General features: G+C 51.4%; 1 protein-coding gene across 5 annotated transcripts in view, besides 6 other annotated features; it reads left to right on the top strand.

Moving 5' to 3' along the window:
- The window catches only part of SMAD7 (SMAD family member 7), a 31,113-nt gene extending 9,635 nt beyond the window's left edge, over positions 1 to 21,478 (top strand). For all 5 annotated transcript variants that reach the window (NM_001190821.2, NM_005904.4, XM_047437509.1 and 2 more), the window contains one exon: positions 19,421 to 21,478. In NM_001190821.2, coding sequence (NP_001177750.1) covers positions 19,421 to 19,959 — 539 coding nt within the window. In that variant the 3' untranslated portion in view covers positions 19,960 to 21,478. The remainder of the gene's footprint in view (positions 1 to 19,420) is intronic.
- Positions 6,084 to 6,153: an enhancer, noted in NCBI's record as "active region_13306". NCBI's record gives its function as "activates an Ori minimal core promoter by ATAC-STARR-seq in GM12878 lymphoblastoid cells {active_cell/tissue: GM12878}" and the evidence as "EXISTENCE:reporter gene assay evidence [ECO:0000049][PMID:35858748]".
- Positions 7,595 to 8,480: an enhancer, noted in NCBI's record as "H3K27ac-H3K4me1 hESC enhancer chr18:46459221-46460106 (GRCh37/hg19 assembly coordinates)". NCBI's record gives its function as "activates a minimal SCP1, AML or CMV promoter by ChIP-STARR-seq in primed H9 embryonic stem cells {active_cell/tissue: H9 hESC(primed)}" and the evidence as "EXISTENCE:reporter gene assay evidence [ECO:0000049][PMID:30033119]".
- Positions 8,739 to 8,888: an enhancer, noted in NCBI's record as "active region_13305". NCBI's record gives its function as "activates an Ori minimal core promoter by ATAC-STARR-seq in GM12878 lymphoblastoid cells {active_cell/tissue: GM12878}" and the evidence as "EXISTENCE:reporter gene assay evidence [ECO:0000049][PMID:35858748]".
- Positions 11,926 to 12,095: an enhancer, noted in NCBI's record as "active region_13304". NCBI's record gives its function as "activates an Ori minimal core promoter by ATAC-STARR-seq in GM12878 lymphoblastoid cells {active_cell/tissue: GM12878}" and the evidence as "EXISTENCE:reporter gene assay evidence [ECO:0000049][PMID:35858748]".
- Positions 14,335 to 15,296: an enhancer, noted in NCBI's record as "H3K4me1 hESC enhancer chr18:46452405-46453366 (GRCh37/hg19 assembly coordinates)". NCBI's record gives its function as "activates a minimal SCP1, AML or CMV promoter by ChIP-STARR-seq in naive H9 embryonic stem cells {active_cell/tissue: H9 hESC(naive)}" and the evidence as "EXISTENCE:reporter gene assay evidence [ECO:0000049][PMID:30033119]".
- Positions 17,361 to 18,292: an enhancer, noted in NCBI's record as "H3K4me1 hESC enhancer chr18:46449409-46450340 (GRCh37/hg19 assembly coordinates)". NCBI's record gives its function as "activates a minimal SCP1, AML or CMV promoter by ChIP-STARR-seq in naive H9 embryonic stem cells {active_cell/tissue: H9 hESC(naive)}" and the evidence as "EXISTENCE:reporter gene assay evidence [ECO:0000049][PMID:30033119]".

Below are 23,325 nucleotides of genomic sequence, written 5' to 3'. Positions count from 1 at the left end.
ATACTCTGTTATCTGAGACTGAGGGTATTGTTTACTCAAAGCTTCTAATGAGAATTGAGCAGGAAAAAGAGGGACCTAGAGAAGGGAGGGGGCTTCAGGCAGTACGGTGGGAGTGGACAGAGGAGTTGAGGAGGGAGAAAAGGCAGCAGTGTGTGAACTGCATCTTTTCTGCTTTCTAAGGCTGAGAGAGTTCTTGAAAGAAAGAAGGCCAATGAGAGGAAAGGGTCTCAGCAGAATAACACGCTCAGGATGTTGTTAGATGGTTTTATTTTTTAAACCCTGAATGTGCAGGGAGGAGCCCCGGCCCCTCCAAACCACATGAAATAAGCAAGGGAAGTGGCAGCTTTTGAAAGGGTCCTTTCGGAAGGTTTGTCTTCTTGATAACATCTTGTCTGTCTCCCCTGCCGGAGGAAATGACGACACCAGGCTGAGATACCAGCCTGAGTGCCTCCTCACCCGCCCGTGCCATGTGACCTGTGAAGCCCTCAGGAGATGGGTGGGCTTTTTTTTTTTTTTCTTTTTTGACAAAGTCTCGCTCTGTCGCCCAGGCTGGAGTGCAGTGGCGCGATTTCGGCTCACACAGACGGAGTCTCGCTCTGTCACCAGGCTGGAGTGCAGTGGCCCGATTTCGGCTCACTGCAACCTCCACCTCCCAGGTTCAAGCAATTCTCCTGCCTCAGCCTCCCAAGTAGCTGGGATTACAGGCATCCACCACTGTGCCCAGCTAATTTTTTGTATTTTTAGTAGAGATGGGGTTTCGCCATGTTGGCCAGGCTGGTCTTGAACTCCTGACCTCGGATGATCCACCCACCCTTTCCTCCCCAAGTGCTGAGATTACAGGTGTGAGCCACTGCGCCTGGCCGATGGGTGGGCTTTTTTTCCCCAAAGCTCTTCCAGTCCTAGAAAGAAACTGGGGGTAAAACAATCATTAACTCCTTCCCCTCACCCCTCCAGGTAATTGTAGACACAGATATTAATAAGGAGCTGCCAGGAAGAAGCAGTGACTCTCTGAAGGGCAGTGTGGCTTCAGAAGACTGCAGAGAGAAGAGGGGGCCTTCCACATGGCAAGAGCATTTGTTTTGAATTTCAGCTCTTGATTTACTAATTCCAAAGGCTTCAAAGTTTGAGCTCCTTCTTCTTTCCGTTCAGAGTTGGTGCAGTGTATTCATAATGGGCCATGGTGGGGAGGGTACACTGTTTTGGGGGTTGATGTCACCGGCTTGGGGGCGTCTGGAGGGGAGGTGATGGGCACGGAGAAAACCTAGGGCTGTCCTCTTTGTAGCGAGAATGCCTTCCAAAAGGGAACTTTATTGGCCCCTGTCCAGGGCAGAGAGTTTTGTAAATGGAGAAAGCCCAAACCTCCTCCTTTTCAAGAAGTTGATCGTTCCATGGGGGGTGGCCTGGGTGTGTCTGCCTTGCTGTGGATGAGGCCAGTGACTGGATGTGGCAGGGCTGGATGGGGGAAGGGGCATAGCAGACACTGAGGTTGGGGGGTGGGAGCCTGGCAGCAAGGTGGGGAGCAGTGAAAACTGAGGAGTTTCTCCCTCCTCCTCCTTGAAATAACCTCTCTGAGCCTCTTTCACAGGCCCTGTGTGCTGTTTTCCTTCCTGTCCTGCCCTGGCTGAGAGCGGGCTTAATGAATGGGGCTCAGTTTAGGGTGGGAGGAAGGTCGGCAGCAGGAGCCAGGGCTTGATTCTCTTGGCAAGGGAAGAAGGGAAAGAAAAAACAGCCGAATGTGAAAATGTGGTGCCTCGGAGGTGGGGGTGGGGTGTGCTCAAAGGCCGGTCCTCTCCTGAAATGCAGGGGTGACTCCAAGGCTGGCCCTTCCCTTTCCTGCGCCCTTGCAAACTGCCCGGGAGGAAGGGGAGTGGGCGGGTAGGAGCCCGGGGGCGGGGCTGCTGGCTGCAGGTTGGAATTCCAGCATTGCAGCTTTGTTTTGGGGGGGTGTGGGGGGGTGGGTAGACGACAGGCCTGGTCGTTAGGGACTTGCAGTGAAACACACCCCACCCTTGCAAGTTTCCTCGGTCTGGGAAAATGGGACATTTTTAGAAGGCAGTGACTTGCTTCCAGGAGATTGTACTTTCATTTTTGACAGCTGGCTCTCTGAGACAGATGGATTGCTGGGTGCAAGCTTGTGTGTGTATGCGTGTGTGTGTGTTGTGGGGGTGGGTGTGTGGGTGGGTGGGTTTTGCCGCAGACGTACAGATAGACAATCCCGTGCGCAAACACATGAGAGCGTGCGGATGCCCACAGGCAGGCTCTGGGATAGGGTGGGTCCCTGTCGCTGGGGTGGGTTGATGTCAGGGCGGCCTCTCCAAGAGGTTGTGGACTTGTGGGGTGGAGTTTGTGGATTGATTCTGCTTTGTGATTTGGCAGTCTGTGCCTGACTCTCTGGGATGGGTGTCTTTTGAAAGGCATGCAACTCCAGAACAGGTCCTTGCTGCTGCTTGGACATGGATGTGTCATGGCTCAGGAAGATCACCTGGGAGAGGTCTGATGTAGCTGGGAAGCCTCTAGGCTCAGCTCCGTCGTGGAGATGGAAAGGATTTGCTCCCAGAGCTTTCCGGGGATCACTGGGAATGCAGAGCATGTGTTGGAAGCTATCATCTTTGCAGCCTCCATCTGGAGTTTCTGTCTGGGGGCTTTCATTTTGCCTGTCTGCTGTCCTGGTTTGAGTGGGTTGAGGGAGCAGCATCTCCCTTGTGAGTTGTAGGTTATTCAGCTGCAGACTCATCTTCTAGCCTCCTCCTTTATATATGAATGTCTGGAGCTGGCTGGGCCTCAGCCATATGGACCTGCCCAGTTAGGGTAGGGATTGGAAGCCAGCAACCACTTGTAGTTATTTAAACTTCAAAAGAAGTGCTCCCATGGATCTCAAGGAGGGAGGTAGGAGGCAGTGGAGACAGAAGTGCTCACGTGTCCTGGGAAACTCCATCTCTTGGCTGTGCGAAGTCATGCTTGTTGGAGAGACCCGGCACCATGCCTCCAACCCAAGGGTGGCCAACTCTTTGCTTGAGATTCATATGTGGCTACTAGTCCCCAAGTCTGGGGGATGGGAGCGTCCTTGAGTCAGTATCCATTCAGCATCCAAGGATGTTTCTGTCTCCTTCTCTTTGATCCTTGCTGGCATCTGTCATAGTCTCAGAGGAGAGCCTTCAAAAATACCTATATAATCTGAAAATGCACCCCTGGCTCAGTCCACAGTTGACTTGGGCTCAAACCAAGTAGCTTAGGAAACATTGCTCCATCCTGTTTTAAGGAAAGTTAATCAGCTGCACGTGAACAATTATTCATTGTCTGGCTTGGAATTGTGATCATGAACTGGGAACCTGGGCCTGGGCGCCTGTTGCTCTGCTTTTAAATTAAGTCACCTCCCCCTGCCTGGCTACAAAACAGCTCATGGTTTCACTGAGGTCTCTAATGCCATTGTGGAGTGAGGGCAGGGGGCACAGGTTGAGCTCACAGGCATGTGGGCCTTTCATCCAAATGCTCATGAGCGTGGACTTTGGGGGACTCAGGTGGACAGGTGCTTGTGACCATGAGCAAGCTCCTTCCTTCCCATCCCCTTAGTACCCTGCAGGCCACTGTGAGAAATGACGGCCTAGAACTCAGGGGACACCTTCTGCCTCTCCTTAAACACCTGCCAACAGGATGAGTCAGGGCTGGGGCGGGCTCACCTGGTGCACACCCACACCCTGGTGAAGACCAGTCCTGGACCCCGCCTCTTCTGCAGTGCCCCAGGTCATGCACTTCCCCCTGGAGAAGGGCTTACTGATAAAACCCCTTTTGTCCTGGAAAGAATGAGGCAGTCCGGCAGGGGTTAAATACAGGGTGACAGCATTTAAAATCTCTGGAGCAAATTTGGGCTGCTCTGCCGGCCAGACAAGATGGTCTGCTGCCGCCTCACGCATCCTGTCCCCAGGCTGAACTGGGCCAGCAAAGGGAGAGGGCCAGGTGAAGGCCAGGCTTTGGGTGGTGTCACTTTTGGTGACACTGTAGCATGCTGATTGCCCCTCACTTCCTACACACACACACACACACACACACACACACACACACACACACATGCCTTTACTTAGCAAAGCCTGACTGTAGCTGCGTAGACTTGTACACCTATGGGACCTCCGTGGCAAGCTCAGAGCCGGTGGAGCAGTGAAAAGGGAGGAAATGCCGAAGAATTCATGATCAAGTTTGGCTTCCTTTGCTTCTTTTTAAAATTTTTTAATGTTTTAATTTTTTTTTTTTTTAATTCGAGATGGAGTTTTGCTCTGTCGCCCAGGCTGGAGTGCAATGGCAGGATCTCGAGTCACTGCAACCTCTGCCTCCTGGATTCAAGGGACTCTCCTGCCTCAGCCTCTGAGTAGTTGGATTGCAGGCGTGCACCACCACGCCCGGCTAATTTGTGTACTTTTTTGTAGAGAGAGGGTTTTGCCATGTTGGTCAGGCTGGTCTTGAACTCCTGACCTCAGGTGATCCGCCCGCCTTGGCCTCCCAAAGTGCTGGGATTCCAGGCATGAGCCACTGCGCCCGGCCTCTTTGCTCCTTTATTATTGTTGTTACTGTGTCATAATTCCTTGCAGAATTATGATGGCCAGGCTGGTCTTTACTTCCTTCGGTCCAGGCCTTGAACTCGGAGCAGCACTCTCAAAGCAGTTGTCTTCACCTGGCAGAAGAAAAAAAAGGTGTAAAGTGCTGGTTCCTGGACTTGCTCGCACACTAAAATCCCTCGGGATTCAGCTTCCCAGATAACTTTCTTGCTTCTTTGTAGAGACATTTGAGAGAAAACTATTATTAACTATACATGGTCCACTGTTTTGCTTTGCTGTCATGAATGGGATTGTAAAAGGGACCCATGGGACCGGGTTTCCTTTTGGGACGATGAAAATGTTCTGGAACTGTAGAGTGGTGATGGTTGCACAGTTCACCGAATGTATTCAATGCCATTGGTGGCACATTTTAAGTTATGTGTATTTTACCACAAGTTTGACCAAAAAATGGCCAGCGGTAGGTTTTAAATACATGTAGATACTTGGATAATCTATAAGGAACAGTGATTGTGGAGAGTAAAATTGGAGAGACTTCTGTTAGTTGCCTAGGACCTGATGATGGTAGACACTTGTTTTGGTGGCAGCCCTGAGGTCACATGGGAAGTACATTGATGGACCAGGGAGCAAGGCTGGTAGCCTGCCTGGGATCTCGTGTGTGTGTGTGTGGTGTGTGTGTGTGTGTGTGTGTGTGTGTGTGTGTGTGTGTTTTGAGATGGAGTCTCACTCTGTCACCCTGGCTGGAGGGCAGTGGCGTGATCTCGGCTCACTACAACCTCCACCTCCTGGGTTCAAGCCATTCTCATGCGTCAGTATCCCTAGCAGCTGGGATTACAGGCGTGCCACACCATGCCTGGCTAATTTTTTTCTAGTAGAAAGGGCGTTTCACCATGTTGGCCAGACTGGTCTCGAACTCCTAACCTCAAGTGATCCTCCCGACTTAGCCTCCCAAAGTGCTGGGATTATAGGCGTGTACCACCACGCCTGGCCTTCTGCTGTGTGTTACCTGAGCAAGCAGACACATCTGTGCTGATCCTTCGACCTTCCTTTTTTCTTCGTGGGTTCCAGAAATGAGAGACAGGAAAGTTCCCTCTGGTTTGATTCCCGGCCTGACTTTTCTGCTGGGGGAAGTGAATATGCTTGTTCTCACTCTGCGGGGTCCCCCTGGCCTGCCCATCCCAGTGACTGCGAACCAGGATGGTGCCAGGGTTGGCTCCAAAAGCTGGTGATCCAGACCCTTCCTGGGCCCCTGGAGACCCCAGTCCCTGTGATGTCCTTGCCCAAGTTCTAGGGCTGCAGTGGCCGTAGGTGACTGGCCCGGGCACCCTCCCTTTGCGGGAGCCTCGTGAAAGGATACTGTAAGCACAGCCACAGGGAGGTCACCACTGGCCCTACCACCTCTCGCTCGGTATTGAATGGCTAGCCCCAAGCCTGGCTGCCTGCCTACTGTCACACAGAGGCTTCCTCTCCGGGCTATTTTCAGCGGGAAGATATTATTAACTGCTGAGGCACAGTTCTCAATTTAGTGGTTAACACACCAAGAAAGCAACACTCACCTGATCCCGGCCACTCTACCTAAACCTGTTGGCTCACTTGGGGGACTCGGCTGCCCCCCAGCCTCTCTGTTTCTCTCTGTGGGTTCACCTGGGAGATGTGGGCTTCCACTCCCGTGGAAGGTGCCCCGTGGATTCAGTATCTGCTAGAGAGAGAACCAGGCTTCTTACGAAGCCAACTCTTAAAAGGTGTAGAAAATGATCGTATTTATACTCTAAGATGGGGACATTTTTTGATAGGGGTGGGCACTGGCTGGGAAAAGGGACTTTCAGCGGTGTTGAGGACAGTTATTTAAAACAGGGTGATAACTTTCACCTTGTAAGTTAACAGGAAATATTGGGACAAGACAGGAAATTGCATCATCTTTTTTTTTGAGAATAACTCCAGAGAAAAGTGGTTCGTGAAAGGTAGTGGCTGAGAAACGGCTAGCCTGTTTTCTGTTTTGTGTTTTTTTTTTCTTCCCTTCCACTCCCACGAGAACATGTAGGCCATTTTCTTTAAGAAAGAGGCTGTTTGAGAACTTTATGTTATTTTTATTATTTAAAAAAATATTTTACCAGAAGGGTCACCTTCAGTTGAAATGTTAACTGCCGCCTTATTTCCCATTTTACTAAAGAATCTTTCATGACTTTTTCAGCTTCCTTCCCCAAATGGTAAGGCCAAGCAGCTCTTGGCTGGAAGCTAATTTTGGTTTGGCTGGGGAGTCCTCAACACTGAGCCCCACCCAGTGTCATTAGCTCAGTTTTAACTTGCAAAAAAAAGATTGTATTTTTTTTTTTGATGGGGGGTACGTAAGAATTTACTCACGCCTTTAGCCTTTTTACCCACCCCCGGTACTGCCTTCCCCTAACAGAGGCACCTGGCACTTAGCCGCCGGGAACTCAGGGCTGCCTTCGTGTTTTCAAGCCACCGTGTCCCCCTCATCCTGCAGGAGTTCTGTAACTTTCCTGAGACTATTTCTAGGGTGCTAGTGAGGAGTGGAGGGGAAATGGGTCTCGGAGCTGCCCTGGTACAGCTGTGTCCAGTAACGGTGCTGTGCTTTGGAGGAAGGAGTGATATGGTTCACCTAGAAGCATCTCCCAGAGAGGGGGCTTATCACAGCCCTACAGTGGTGCAGATAAGGTCCAGTTCCATTTTTTGTCTCTGGGTTTCTAAATCCCCTCTTTGTTGATGTCATTGTTCTAATGACACAGGGCATGGGACAGTGCCCCGGCCCGTGCTGCCAAGGAGCCGTCTTTAGGACAGAGACCAGAAAGAAAGAGACCTGTGTGTGTGGCTGGCCCGCTCTCCACTCACGCTCACCCCCACCCTCCCAGCTTTTTCCTTAGCGTGCTTTGTTTTGTTTTCATAACACAACAAGGGCCCTGGGGTGTGTAAAAGCATTGTTGAACACTTGGTGAGGGCAACTTGTCCAAACAGAGCAGGACGCCAAAGCAGAATGCTGTGGGCAGGTGGTGTGCCCACAGAGGTTGGTGGGCCGGCGCCGGCCTTGGAAACACCTCTCAGTGGCATATGCCGCGGCGGCTGAGTGTGACCTAGCGCAGAACAGGGCTTCCCTCTTGTGTCCTCCGTGGGGAGTCCAGGAGAGGGACTTGGTCCTTCTGGCTGACTCCGTGCTTGGAAGGTGTGCTCCCCTCTCAGGTGGGTTCACATGTGCCTCCCTCTGCCGGGTGTGAAGCTAGGTGGGCCCGCTGCTTTGGAAGAAGCCAGTGTGTCCCTGTGGTTTGTTTATGGAGCAAATATGTATTGACACCTATTATGTGCCAGGCTGTGTGCTGTGCAGAGGACCAGTTCCTGGGCTGGGTTAGAATTAAGAATTGGCAGTTGGAATGGCTTGTCCGAAGGTGATGTTGAATCCATGGGGATGGAGCCGGCGGGAGGGGGGATTGACTAGGAGTTGCCTCTACCTGGAGGCAGGCAGGGGCAGCTTCTGTAGGACAGAGGAGCCTGGTCCCTCCATGAAGCCAGGCCATAGGTGGGGGAGGTGCAGGGTGGGCCCCCTGGGATGGGCCTAGCTCTTGAGTCATCCACTTCTACTTCTGCTTTGGTTGTGTGGTCTGTTGAGAATTGAGATAAAGCAAAGCTTGTGGATAAACAGAGGTAGGTCTCCCGGGTTTTGGTTCCAGCCCGCCTCCCCACCCCGCTTCTTGCTGATTGTAAGATGACAGCAGGAAGAACAGGAGCTGTGGTTATAATCCACCCTCCAGACCCTGGTAGTACCTGGGGCACAGCACAGAGTGGAAGTGACCAGCCTAGCGCCAGGCTCCTCAGTGGACCACGGCCAAGGGGTGGGGAAACATCTGGAAAGACAGTATCTAATGTCTTGACAGCCAGAGGAGAAGTGGGATGTTTTCAAAGCCCAGGAGTGACTTTCCCTTTGTAACTCCAGAGGACTTGATTCGCAACGAAGACCATCTGGGGGATGAAGGAAATTCTTGCTTTTTAATTTTAAATCTGAGGGTTAAGCCCGTTTCTGAGGTGTCAGCCCTGTGTGTGAGGCCCTGGCCTGTCTGGGGTTGGGTTTGGATGAAATAATCTAAGATGCAGTTACCAGGGTGTTTCCTTTTCACATTCATCCTTCTCTGTCTGTTCCCCCGGGGCCAACCGATGGCTTCCAAGCTCTGTGGAGTTCACTAATTGAATTACTCTTCTCGCTCCTCCGTGAAGCCCCACCAGGAAGAAAAGGCGGGGAGAGCTGCTTTTGCTGGGGGGTTTGATCAGAGCAGAAAGGGAAGATCTGGTCTCAATTCCAATTTCATCTTGCAAAGTCGGGACTTTCTTTCAGCCAGAAGACAACTCAGATAACCAGGCCAGCGACTGTGTGCTCATTTCAGTATTGCTTTCTTACGTTTTGATCTGCGACTGTCACTCAACAGGAACAAAAACAATAAGACGCCAAGATATGACTGTGCCGTTGGCAGATTAGCTGTCTGCATTTTCTGGGGTGGCTCACTCGGAGGTTAAATGATTGTCCCTGTCCCCTGTCCCACCTTCCAGTCACCTCATGAAGCTGTTAAGTGTCTCCTTCCCCTGCAGGCTAAGTGAGGATCATCAAGAGCTGGGCCTGGGGACCTTGTCAGCCTCACTGCAGCCTCTGAGCCAGCCCTGCCCCACCCCCTCATGAATCAGTAACCAAGAGGGAAAATTAAAAAGTTAGTTATCAGTGTGATCTGAGTGCACCATACCGTTCTTACAAATAGATGGGCCCCATCTCCTGCTCAGTGGGGGCACAATCAAAACCCTGCTGGGGGGGCTGTTTTCTGGGGAAGAGCCCAGGATCGTGGGGCCTGCAAAAACTCAGAAGCCCCCCCACCTTCCCCCCAGGGTGTCCAGGATGCCCTAGTCCCAGGAGGGGGCTGGGAGAGAATTACAATGTCGGGGCCAGCATCCTCCACTTTCCTGTCACTAGAGGCTGGCCTGCTCTCCTGGGTTGAGGCCGAGTGTCTCAGCCCCTGGCTGGCCACATGGCCTTGCAGGAGCCATTTCTGTGTTCTGGGCCTCAGTTTTCTCATCTGCAAAATAAGGGCTTGGGCTTGGCTGCCAAGTCCCTTCGGTGATCTGTGATCTTTGTCTCTTGGATTTGAGGGGTGTGGGAATGATCCCCCTATTGATGAGATATCCCTATGGAAGCCAAAGACTGCTTCCATTTTAAAATAAAAAGGTTGTAGTTCTTTCTGTCTCTTGGCTCGCAAACTCTTCCAAGTATGGGTGAAAGCTGAGGACTCTGTTCAGAAAAATGCATGCTATACCACAATTTGTATACATCTGCAGGGGGCCGATATCTTTGCTGAAGCCCAGTCCCACCCGTGGAATCCCCAGTTCAGGAAATCTATGCTTATGAGGACTAGTTATGGGGGTGCAAAGGAGAGCCTTAAGAGAGCTGAGGCCTTTTTCTTTTATTGTGGTAAAATATACATAAAATATACCATATTAACAATTTTTAAGTGTATAGTTCTGTGGCATTAAGTACATTCATATTGTGCTATTATCCCCACCGTCCACATCCAGAACTTTTTCATCTTCCCTAGCTGAAACTTTGTTCCCATGAAACACTAACTTCCCTTCTCCCCTCCCCCAGCACTTGGCACCCACCATTCTTTCTGTCTATGAATTTGCCTCCTCCTCTAGGTACTTCATAGAATAGTGGAATCAGACAGTGTTTGTCCTTTTGTGATCGGCTTATTTCACTTAACATAATGCCCTCAGGGTTCATCCATACTCTAGCGTATGTCAGAATTTCCTTCTTTTTTAAGGCTGAATAATATTTTATTGTATGAATATTCCATGTCTGGTTGATTTATTGCTTGATGGACACTTGGCTTGCTTCTACCTTTTGGCTATTGTGAATAATGCTGCTGTGAACATGGATGTGCAAATACCACTGGAGTCGCCGCTTTCAGTTCTTCTGGGTATATACCCAGAGGTGGAATTGCTAAATTACACTGTCATTCTGTGTTTAATTTTTTAAGGCATCGCCAACGGTAGGGCCTCCTTGACTTGTGCCTCATGTGTCGGCACACACCGATCGCATGCGGTGGGGGAGCCCTACCCACCGGGGTGGGCTTGAGGGCGAATCCTGGGGCAGAGGGAGTGAGAAAGCGGGGAGGGGACAGTCTGTCCCTGCGCGGTGGGGGAGGGGCAGTGCTGGGCTGCTGCAGTCACCAGCCAGATTGGAGCTCACATTTATGGGAGCCCATGTTTATGGGAGGCCTGGAGGCTCTGAAAGGTGGGGCACCCAGCACAGAGCAGCTGGCCGTGTATGTTGGACTCCAGGGCCTTGTGACAGCAGCTTCTGGGTGGGGGACCCTTTCATTCTTCTTTTATTCCCTTGACCTCCTAACTGGAGGTTAGGAGTGGGAGGACCCGCCAGAGGGAGTGGGGGCTTGGGTCTGGGAGGTCCTGGGTGCTTTAGGGGTGAAAGGGCTGGGATGGCTGAACAGTGAGTGTGTCCAAGCGGGAGAGATTAGATTACGGAGGCAGACAGAAGTAATGATTAACTTTTCCAGTCTGCACGCTGTCTCCAGGCTGTCGTACTGTTGTTTTTCCCTCTAAGTACAGTGCGGCCCTGGCCTGGCCAGGCCCTGGTATTGGGTTGTAAAGTGAGAGATGGAATGAGGGCTGGGAGTGCACGGGGAGGGGGGCCAGGGAGGGAGCTCGCAGGAGAAGAAGGAGCTTTTCCATCGGATCCTGCATTGGAATTTATTGGCCGGAATGCAGTAAATGTTCAAAATGCCATCCCATCCAACAGTTTTCATAATTGTTATGGAACAAGGGGAGCCGGGGGAGGGGAGGAATGAAAAGGACTTTTGTTTCTCACTGTATTTTTCCATGTCTTCGGACAGTTTTCCTACCCTCTAGAAACTGGAGTGGAGTTGGATCTGTGGGGGATAGGGTGGGAGAAGGGTCTGCCTTTGGGTCCTGTGATGCCTTCCAAGGACTAGGGGTCCTGGTAGCCTGGGGCTTTATTAAAACGAGGCCCACAGCAAAAGTAGCTTGGTTTCTTGCACACACAGAGCCCCCCCACCACCTGCAAAACCAGGGAAAAACTGTCCTGTCCTTCTAGGGGTTTTGTCCTTTTGGAAAATTGGCTTAATGATGCAGTGGTTTGTATTAAGATTTTCATGATGCTTTAACGTGTGTGTGTGTGTGTGTGTGTGTGAGTGAGAGAGAGAGAGAGAGAGAAAGAGAGAAAGAGATTGAGAGAGAGAGAGAGAGAATGAATCAGCATTCAGTGCCAGCTGCCCAGTTGGGAATCCAGATAGGGAATTTGGGGAATCTCCTACACTCTCAGGGTGGCAGGTGGGTAGGTGGGTGAGGTAAGAGACTTGACTTGGTAGTTTCTCTTGGACACGACAGACTTTCTGTTCCATGCTTGTCCCAGCCCTTGTGTCTTCCTGGGGGTGCCAGGGTCATGCCCAGAGGGAAGGCAGCTGAGCAGACAATGCCATGCAGGGCTGAGGGCTTCTGTGCCTGCTAATATGTGAACCCCCTTTCTGAAGAGAGCTGCTCTGAGTTACTTGGGGGGTAACAGTGGGAACCTGGTTGGTGTACCATGGAGGGGAAGTATCTGGAAATTTGAACTCGAGAAATGATTCGACTGCATGCACACTAAACAGCAGCCAGAGAGGCCCTTTACTGTCAATATTATGAATGGAGTTGGCTGGGTCGGGAGTCCCCACCCTTCCTCTGAGGCCTCTCTCAGAGGAGCCTGGGCAGAGTGGGCCTCCTCAGACAGCAGTGGCTGCAGGCAGCTGGGTACACGCTGTAATTTGCATGGCTGAATGCTGGGGCACAGGAAGCCGCGTCAGCCTGACTGGCGAGACAGACAAGAGCTTTTGATTTGTGTGGCTTTCCTCCCCTGCCCCGTGCCACCCTCAATTACATTCTCCATGGCGAGATAAATGCTCTTAGGAGCATTCATCCCCAGGTTGGGGGCTTCAGACTCAGATGCTTGGGGGGTTTTGGGAGGTGGTGTGGGACCAGTTTGGGGAGCCAGGGAGTACATTTTAGTTCTAGGAATTGATTATTTAACATAATTTGTAAGGACACAGTCACTAATTAGTGTTCTAGACCAGCAGGATCTGCGAAATATGTAGGCTTGGGAGAGGTGGCAAGGAGGGCGGTGATGGGAGGAGAAACTTCAGGGAACCAAGCCTGGGCAGACAGTGGACGGATGACAGTGATAAAAGAGATCCTCTCTTGGGGGCTCACCGTCTCTTGAGGGTGATGAATAGTAAGACAGAGTAAAAAGTCATTTCTGACTCTGAAATTAAAGAAAAAAAAAAGTTGGTTTAGAGATGGACACAGCAAAACCTGACTCAAACCTCCTTTCCCTTTTGATTTTATTTTGTTTTATTGTTGCAAATTAAATGCAAAAATGTACCCTGCTCCTCAAAGTGGTTTTCTTACTCTCTGGAAGGTAGTAAAAATAAATGGAACCAGTGTTGTTTAATACTGAGAATCAGAGTCCAGCCAGAGACCATGAAGGCAGAAGGGGGCCCATGGGGCCATCTTCCCTTGTCCCCTTTACATTATTTATGGACAGGTCAAACTGAGACCCTGAGAGGGCAAGCCACTTGGCCAAGGTCACAGAGCAGCTTGCTGGCAAAAAAGCCGTATCACCCCCCACTTCTTGCTGCAGGGGAGTTGCACCCCATGCGCAGCTCTAAAAGCTGGTGCAGCATTTCCAAAGTGTGTTCTGAAGGACACTTTGGAGAGGAACAGTGGGCTTGGTGGCTTTAGAGGCCTGTGTCCACAGCTCACACCAGGCAATATTCTGGGCTTGAATTGCAGCTCTGCACTTCGGCCAGTGACTTGTGCCTCACCCCTACTACTCCCTTTTTTTAAGATAGGCTGGTGATAGTATGCAGCCTCAGAGGGTTGTCATGAGCCACTTAGAGAACACAGCCTATGCAAAGTAAATGCTTATTAAGTGTAGGCATTGGCCCAGAACTGTTCTACCATGGGGTGTGGGGATGTGGAGACAATCAGGAAGACTGGTGGGCATTTTCTGAGCGGCTGGAGAACCCAGGAGCCTCAGAGATGAGACCAACGTGTGTGCAGCACTCTCCACAAGCTGGCCCCAATCACTTTTGCATCAAATTGGTACAGCAACCTTATGAGGCTGGCCTTGGGGGAACCCTGTTTTAGGGATGAGCTGAACTTACCGGGAGGCTGCATGCGAGGTTGGTGTGAAATGCATATCTGGCTTTGTAGCTGGTCGGCTCACCTCTGGGGTTGGCACAGGGGCGGGGGTTCTGCCATGGCTAGAATGCGCTAAGGGGTGGAAACGAAGCCTGCTGGGCCCGGGAACCAGAGAGCAGCCTGGCCTTTGAAGGAGACCCTGTGGCACCCCCTGCCCACCCCCAAGTCCAGCCATCTCACTTCACTGGAGATGCTGCAAAGCATGAAAAAAAAAAAATCCAGTGTTCTCAGGTCAGCCTTCCACCAGCCAGGATTCATCGTCTGATCTGTTTGGGGAGAGAGCATGGGGTGGTGGAGATGGGTTGGGCCCCAGTGTTTTCTGATTAACTCGCAGTTTACCTGAAACATTTTGGTTTGTTTCCTCCATGAGGAACTCACTCTAAACCCCAGCATTGTCTGTGTTTCCTGAGGAGTCTGAGGGAGCTCTGGGGTCCTATTTCCTCTTTTGGATGAGGCTGTGAGCATGGTGGATTAGAGACAGCCCCTTAAAGTTAGCCCAGATATCTCAGCAAGTTTTACGCGTCTCTATTTGGGGGAGGGATTCGCCTATTGAAAACAAGAGACCAGCAAGGGTCCTTGTGAATTATGATGGTTTGGCGTGAGAATAGATGGGATGGATTGGCACTGGAGTCCCCTTTTATCTTAGGCTTGTCCCTGAAGAGGGCTTGTTGATATCAGAACAGCCAATTTCCTGACAGGGTTGGGAGCAGGGGATGGGTGCTGTTAACCTTTGAGATGTCCGTTGTGGAGGGAGAGACAGGATGAGGCAACCGTTGGTGGCGCCTGGGTCCTGAGGAGGGAGGACCCTGGACCTGGCGTTAGCGAGGCGTGGTGATGTTTGCGCTCCCAGGTTGCCAGGTGCAAGCTGTCTGTGTCCACATTTCTGCCCTTCATTTGCCCCTGATTGGCACAGGGAGCCTGCAGGAGGCGGCCGTGCCTGCCCAGGCGCCCTTCCTCCCCAACTTCTCCGTCCTCAGCCTTCTGCTCTGCTGGACCATGGAGGAGGGGGCTGATAGGCCCGTGGCCCTGTTGGACTTTGGCAGAGGAATATCACTTCATTATCCAAGTGCCTCACAGAGATGAGAGCCGGTGGAGACCCGTCCTCACTCGCCTTTGACCCCAGCTCCCGGTACCCTAGCAATTGGGCACATTTAACCGTGGGTCATCAGCTGATGGAGCTCATGTCTTTACTGGCTTTTTTCCCCAAGCTTGCCCTTGTTCCTAAATGGAATCTTGGGGGACCCCCTCCCCACAAGTACGTTCTTTGTGTGTCTGGGCCCAGTCAGGCCCAGATAGCTTCTCTTCCACGCGTGCCCGTGTTCTCATAACCCCATGGCTGTTCTTGGAGCTGCTCTGCCTCTCTGCCCTCTGCCTTCAGGTGGAGAATGGTATTGTTGAGGCACTGAGCAAGGCCTTTCCCCCCTCCTCCCATTTTTCTTCTTTCTCATCTCCTGACGCCTTCAAATTAAAAATTTAAGAAGGGGTCTGGGTGCGGCGGCTCACGCCTATAATCCCAGCACTTTGGGAGGCTGAGGCTGGCGGATCACGAGGTCAGGAGATCGAGACCATCCTGGCTAACACGGTGAAACCCTGTCTCTACTAAAAATACAAAAAATTAGCCAGGCGTGGTGGCGGGTGCCTGTAGTCCCAGCTACTCGGGAGGCTGAGGCAGGAGAATGGCGTGAACCCGGGAGGCGGAGCTTGCAGTGAGCCGAGATTGTGCCACTGCACTCCAGCCTGGGCGACAGAGCGAGACTCCATCTCAAAAAAAAAAAAGAAAAACATTTAAGAAGGGGAAAATTCCTTGCTTAACCTAAAATGTGGCCTTGAGGCCTGGTCACCCTGTGCCATTGAGACCTGGGGTGTGAGGTTCATTCACGAGCCTCTGGTCTCCTGGAAGGGTCTGGTCTGTTCATTCATGAGCAGGGTAATTAAATAACTCTTTGTAAGAGTCAGGGAGCTCCTTGCTAAGTGGTCTTCCCCAGTTGGAGCGCAAACACAGGCTGAAGTCCTCTCCTTTCTCAACACCCACCTCCCCCTTCCCTTTAAAGGGAGGATTTTATGCTTTAAGGGAAATGGGGAAGGTTGGGGGGGGGCAACACCTTAAAGGAATTTTAGGCAGATTCAGCATTTTTCTGGTGTTGCTCCAAAAATTCCCCACACTGTAATAAAAAGATACAACTGTGAGCAGGCATCTGATTAGTGAGCTTTTTACAACACAGCTTTTCTTTTGGATGCTTTAAAATGAACACATACTGTTTTAAAACAAGCCCCTGTACAGTTTTCTGGGGAGGGGGAGAAGTTTGTGGAAAATACCGGAAAAGGTTATAAAGCTGAGGGAAATTAACAAAGGACTGTGAGTTTTGCCTTCAGAGGTTAACTATCAGCGAGAGGCCAAGGCTCTTCCTTAGTCCTTGTACTGACTGAACTTCCCAGCCCCTCGACACGTGGCCCGGGAAGTCCCTGGGAGCAAAGCGTCCACACAGACCTTTGTGGGGAGACTCGTGTGGGCTGTGGGCCCGATTCAGGGAACTGTGTTTCTGTGAAGATGAAGCTGAGCATTTCCCAGAAATGAGCCCAAATGGCGGGGAATTCAGGGCAAAGGGGAATCTCTGTAGTGGCAATGGGGGATGTCGTGCGGGGTCCCCAGAAGGTGTGATGTCCACACAAGGGTGTGTGTTCGAGGGGCCTTTGCTGTTGCCGAATGGTTTTGCTGGAAAGCTTGTTTTTTGTGTGTGCTTAGAGATAGTCCCGGCAGGAGGAGACTGGAGCTGTCCTAACGGGAGGACAGAGGCTGCTGGTGGGGGAGCTGGAGGGGACAGCGAGGGAGGAGCAGGCAGGAGTCTCCCTGCGGTGGGTTAGGGCACCAAATGGACTTCAGGGCCCTTGTTCACACACAGCAGCATTCACGACATCCATGCATTGCAGTTTTTCTGGGCTGGGCCATTAACCTCAGCAGAAAAATGCTTTTTCCAGGGGGTGTCTGGCAGCACATTGCTGGCGGGCTGCACAGATGAAACAGAAACCCACCTGACACTTCCCCGTCCTGCTACAGATCTCAGGCTCCAGTCCCCACCCAGCTTCCTCTGCCCCCAGAGGCCCCCACCCTTGGCAGACAAGGCTTCCACCCCTTGCCTAGGTGGCTGACAGGCCTGGCATGGGGGCACCTCGATCTCAGGTCCATACTCCACTCACTCCCTTGCTCCTCCTCCTCCTCCTCCTGTTGGCCGGTGCCAGGTTTCAGTGGGTCCTGGCTGCATGAAACAAAGCATTGTGAGGCTCTGCTGAGGGTCTCCCACCCACCCTCCCTCCCGCCTCCTTCCCAGCAGCTCCTCGAGTCTTCCTTTCCAGGCCAGGTTTGTTGTCCCGAATTGGGAAAATAAGCAAAAGCTTCTTGTGTTTCAGAACACCCTCCTCCACACCAAAAGGGTGGATGTGCTGTGCCTCCCGGAAGAGGGCTTTCTCCCCCGCTTCACACTTGATGCCAATGTGTCCTTCCTTCCCTGGGCGTTCAGGTCTTTGGTGTAGCCTTCAGAGCTGAGTTCCCTCAGCAAGAAAGTTCAAAGATTGCCAGCGCTCACAAGTTTATTAGCAGTTGATGGATACTTTGCAGAAACAAGTGAATGCCTGATGAGTCACCTTCTCCCTGTCCCTGTCTTGTTTTCCATATGTTCCAGTACGTATGTGCACACAGAAACACACATAACACACACTCGTACACACTGACATCATGGACACAGTCTTGCACACGCACATGCACAAGCACTGGACTTCCAAGCTACATGGGGGGTGGTGACCGGCCAGTTTTCTGGTGTTGATTTTTAGTGGGGGTTGGGGGTTGAGGGAAAGGAATGAGACCTCAGTGTCCCCTTTTTGTGGAGCTTTTGGGGCAGGCATTTGGGAAGGCCAGCTTGGGGTGTCTGTAGGGAACCGCTGCTCTGGGTGTGTGTGTCTGTGGCTGCCCCAGCAGGCCGCAGTGTGCACATTTGTATGGCCTTACTGACGGGCACCTCCATCCAACACTGGCTGCTACTTAAAACAACAACAACAACAACAACAACTGAGTGGAGCCAGTGGGTTCCCAGGTCCTAACACGCCTGTAAAAGTTGGAGCCAGTTAGTGTCCTGGGCTGCCCCAGTTACCCAGCCTGCTGGGGCAGCAGGATGCGGCCCCATCTTCCGCCATGGACCCCCTGCAGGGTGCAACCCATCATCATTGACTCTGAACCCAGTTACTCCAGAAACACAAAGGCCACACCAAAACACATCTCACACTCAACCCCTGCTTTGTGCCCCCCAGGTCCCCAAGAGGAGGAGCTGGGGCTGCAGGGAGCGAGGGCAAGGCCCTGACCGACGTGGGGCCCTTCCCCTCTGCTTTTCCCCCTCTGCTGTCCCCATTTTTGTTAACAAATACAAGACTTCCGGTCTCCACCCTGCTGCCACAAACCACAGCGTTCCTGCAGTCTGGCTGGGCTGGGGAGATTTATGGTCCCAAGTCTGAGGCCTGCCCGCTGGCTCCTACTTAAGGAGGAGTCAGAATGCCCGCCGCCGGGGCTCCCTTTCCCTCCGTGTGACCCCCCTTTTAAAGTCCTCCAAGTGCCTGTTGAGGAAAATTACCTTACCAGAATCACCCCGGCCCCCAGGCTGCCTGTGGGAAGACTGTGTAGGGAAGCGGGGCGGGGCCTGCAGGGGAGGGATGAGGGCGGAGCAGGGCGCCCTGCAGGCTCCAGATGCTTCTGTGGAAGGAGGGGAGAGAGGGGGCACCCCTGGGGATGGGGGTGCCGGCAGAGAAGGGGAGAAGGGGGACGCATCTATTTGAGACACATAATCTTCTGTCTGGGCTGGAGGAAGCTTTGTTAAGGTAGCCCGGGTTAATACCGGTCTGCATGTTGTGATTTGGCATTTTGACATGAATTCACCCTTTGTGTACAGGGCTGCTGCTGACACACTGAGACTGTTTTCCTATTAGGAATATAGATGTTTTTGTCCCAAGCCACCCTCATTTTTATTTTTACCAGATAGGTTCCTCATGACCACGGCACTGATTTGAGAGCTGGGTGACAGGCACCCAGAGACCATCGCATAGGTGGTCCCAGAGTCTAGACACCTGGGTTCTAGCTCTGGCTGTGTCATCCCCTGGTACTCCAGCAGCAGGCTTTCTGGGTCCTGGTTTTCTCATCAGGATGACAAGGGGCTGGAGGAGCTGGCCTTCAAGGTTCCATCCAGTTGAAAGATCTGTAACTCCAGGACGTTGCTGAGGCTTTTTGAGGCCCTAAAAGCAGACTACCCAAGCTATTAAGGGTCCCTTTGCATCTGTGCTCTGCAGAGAAGAGGCTTTGTTGGCCAGGTGGGCACAGATGCTGGTGTACTGGACTCCTGATGGGCAGGGGCCTGGAGAGAAGCAGCACCCAGCGCTTCCTATGCTTAAAGAAAGGCAGGGTCCTGGTCAAAGGGCTGTAAGAGCCTGGGCAAGTCCAGGACTAGCCTCACCGCCTCCTTCTTTCTGTCTCGTCCTGAGAGATGAGCTGGTGACTGGGTGCAGTGGGGGGGCGGGTGTCTTCATTCTAGGAGTCACCAATGCCTGTCCCCACTAACCCTCTCTGCCAATGTGTTTTCTAGATTCCCAACTTCTTCTGGAGCCTGGGGATCGGTCACACTGGTGCGTGGTGGCATACTGGGAGGAGAAGACGAGAGTGGGGAGGCTCTACTGTGTCCAGGAGCCCTCTCTGGATATCTTCTATGATCTACCTCAGGGGAATGGCTTTTGCCTCGGACAGCTCAATTCGGACAACAAGAGTCAGCTGGTGCAGAAGGTGCGGAGCAAAATCGGCTGCGGCATCCAGCTGACGCGGGAGGTGGATGGTGTGTGGGTGTACAACCGCAGCAGTTACCCCATCTTCATCAAGTCCGCCACACTGGACAACCCGGACTCCAGGACGCTGTTGGTACACAAGGTGTTCCCCGGTTTCTCCATCAAGGCTTTCGACTACGAGAAGGCGTACAGCCTGCAGCGGCCCAATGACCACGAGTTTATGCAGCAGCCGTGGACGGGCTTTACCGTGCAGATCAGCTTTGTGAAGGGCTGGGGCCAGTGCTACACCCGCCAGTTCATCAGCAGCTGCCCGTGCTGGCTAGAGGTCATCTTCAACAGCCGGTAGCCGCGTGCGGAGGGGACAGAGCGTGAGCTGAGCAGGCCACACTTCAAACTACTTTGCTGCTAATATTTTCCTCCTGAGTGCTTGCTTTTCATGCAAACTCTTTGGTCGTTTTTTTTTTGTTTGTTGGTTGGTTTTCTTCTTCTCGTCCTCGTTTGTGTTCTGTTTTGTTTCGCTCTTTGAGAAATAGCTTATGAAAAGAATTGTTGGGGGTTTTTTTGGAAGAAGGGGCAGGTATGATCGGCAGGACACCCTGATAGGAAGAGGGGAAGCAGAAATCCAAGCACCACCAAACACAGTGTATGAAGGGGGGCGGTCATCATTTCACTTGTCAGGAGTGTGTGTGAGTGTGAGTGTGCGGCTGTGTGTGCACGCGTGTGCAGGAGCGGCAGATGGGGAGACAACGTGCTCTTTGTTTTGTGTCTCTTATGGATGTCCCCAGCAGAGAGGTTTGCAGTCCCAAGCGGTGTCTCTCCTGCCCCTTGGACACGCTCAGTGGGGCAGAGGCAGTACCTGGGCAAGCTGGCGGCTGGGGTCCCAGCAGCTGCCAGGAGCACGGCTCTGTCCCCAGCCTGGGAAAGCCCCTGCCCCTCCTCTCCCTCATCAAGGACACGGGCCTGTCCACAGGCTTCTGAGCAGCGAGCCTGCTAGTGGCCGAACCAGAACCAATTATTTTCATCCTTGTCTTATTCCCTTCCTGCCAGCCCCTGCCATTGTAGCGTCTTTCTTTTTTGGCCATCTGCTCCTGGATCTCCCTGAGATGGGCTTCCCAAGGGCTGCCGGGGCAGCCCCCTCACAGTATTGCTCACCCAGTGCCCTCTCCCCTCAGCCTCTCCCCTGCCTGCCCTGGTGACATCAGGTTTTTCCCGGACTTAGAAAACCAGCTCAGCACTGCCTGCTCCCATCCTGTGTGTTAAGCTCTGCTATTAGGCCAGCAAGCGGGGATGTCCCTGGGAGGGACATGCTTAGCAGTCCCCTTCCCTCCAAGAAGGATTTGGTCCGTCATAACCCAAGGTACCATCCTAGGCTGACACCTAACTCTTCTTTCATTTCTTCTACAACTCATACACTCGTATGATACTTCGACACTGTTCTTAGCTCAATGAGCATGTTTAGACTTTAACATAAGCTATTTTTCTAACTACAAAGGTTTAAATGAACAAGAGAAGCATTCTCATTGGAAATTTAGCATTGTAGTGCTTTGAGAGAGAAAGGACTCCTGAAAAAAAACCTGAGATTTATTAAAGAAAAAAATGTATTTTATGTTATATATAAATATATTATTACTTGTAAATATAAAGACGTTTTATAAGCATCATTATTTATGTATTGTGCAATGTGTATAAACAAGAAAAATAAAGAAAAGATGCACTTTGCTTTAATATAAATGCAAATAACAAATGCCAAATTAAAAAAGATAAACACAAGATTGGTGTTTTTTTCTATGGGTGTTATCACCTAGCTGAATGTTTTTCTAAAGGAGTTTATGTTCCATTAAACGATTTTTAAAATGTACACTTGATTTCATGTTGTCCTCCAACTCCTTTTTCTTCTGCTGCTTGGAGGGAGTGGGGAGGAGTGAGTATTCATCCAAATTCAGTTGAGTTGGCGTCTTCCCAGCCCAGTGCTTGGAGGATGGGAGACGTGGGCCACAAAAGAGACATCTAGAACAGCCCTGGTCTTCAAGAGTGCTGGAAAGACCTGCAGCCACCCAGACATCCCTCCTTCTTGTGTCTTGAATTTGTAATGGGAGACAACCTACAGGAGCTCTGTGGGTGATAATTCAAAGCTTGTAGAATTGAGGACAGGGAATTACATCTAGGGTAATGGGAAGGAGACAGGATTAGAGGATGGATGGATGGAGAAGTTTAGCCCCAAGAACCTGGGTCCATCTGGTTCTTGCCAACTCCTCACTTGGTATTAAATCCTAAGCCTACTGTACCCCTGCTAGACTGGATTCCAGGAGAAGTTTCCTGGGGGCTGAGACCCTGGAAGGGTGATGAAGGTGGGGGTTGAATGTCAGTGGTGTTCAGAGGGACTAGGCCACCTCCTGGCGCCCTCCCAAATACTGTCCTGGGCCACAGAAGTCACAGAGTACAAGTTCCACTCTGCAATATCGTCCCTTGTCTGCTGGGACTTAAGTGACAGTTCACTAGTCCCCTTCCCCAGCCTAGCTCTGGTGGCACTTGCAGTCAAAATGCCTCTTCAGTGCTGTCTTTGCATCAGCCTGCCTTGGTTCGCTGCTGAACCGTGATCTGAGCCATGTTTTAGATTTGGGAAATCTTGCACAAGAGATGGTCTAAATTGGGTACCAAACAAACGGCTGTGCAGGTGTCTATGTAAGGGGTTTTGAACCTTATATCCAGGAAGGGGGTCCTTTTGAAGTGGGGGTTAAGATTTGAATATCATAAGCCTGTACAATTTCATGAAAGCTTTTTGGAAGGCCAATGTAGGACAGCCAACTTTCTATTTTGCCAAAAAATGACCAAAAGCGCTACAGCCTACTGGCGCCACCACTTCATTAAAGGGAATGACAGTACAATTGGTTAGCAAGAAATATTAATACATGTTGATTGCTGATTTATGCTCCAGGGCATTAATGCCAAGTGGTCATCCTGGCCAACTTGTTTACATGTGATAGGGAGCTTACTACCTCTAAAAGTAGCTTTTGCTTTTTTTTGTTTTTTTTGAGATGGAATCTCGCTTTGTCGCCCAGGCTAGAGTGCAGTGATCTCGGCTCACTGCAGCCTCTGCCTCCCGGGTTCAGGCAATTTTGCTGCCTCAGCCTCCTGAGTAACTGGGATTACAGGAACACACTACCACACCCGGCTAATTTTTTGTATTTTTAACAGAGATGGGGTTTCATCACGTTGGCCAGGCTGGTCTTGAACTCCTGACCTTAGGTGATCCACCCGCCTCGGCCTTTCCCAAAGTGTTGGGATTACAGGTGTGAGCCACCACGCCTGGTCGCTTTTTGCTTTTTATCATTGAACTGAAACTTGCTTACATCGTAGTTCTGTAACCCAGAATAAGTGCAAAATCTCATCTCTAGAAAACACCCAAGGAGGGTTCTAATTAACTCTAGGGTGGTAGCGGCGGAGGAGGGGCAGGGAGGGAAGGTGTTTCACTGGGGGCTGTCAAAGTTATTTTAGTTTGCTCTAAATTGCGTCGGCATGCCCGGAAGCTCTTTAATAATTGTAGCTACCATTTACTGAATGCTTCACTAGGTGCCAGGCATAATGTTCAGGCGTTTGAGGGAATTCTCATTTCATCTTCATTAGGACACGCTGCAAAAATGGAGGCTTTGAGAGGTGAAATGACTGGCTCAAGGTCACACAGTGAGATAGTAAGTGGTTAGGGAGATCAGGA

Source organism: Homo sapiens, chromosome 18 (genome assembly GCF_000001405.40).
Source record: "Homo sapiens chromosome 18, GRCh38.p14 Primary Assembly".
Lineage (NCBI taxonomy): Eukaryota > Metazoa > Chordata > Mammalia > Primates > Hominidae > Homo > Homo sapiens.
The sequence above is the reverse complement of the archived record's forward strand: the minus strand, read 5'-3'. Positions and strand labels throughout refer to the sequence as shown.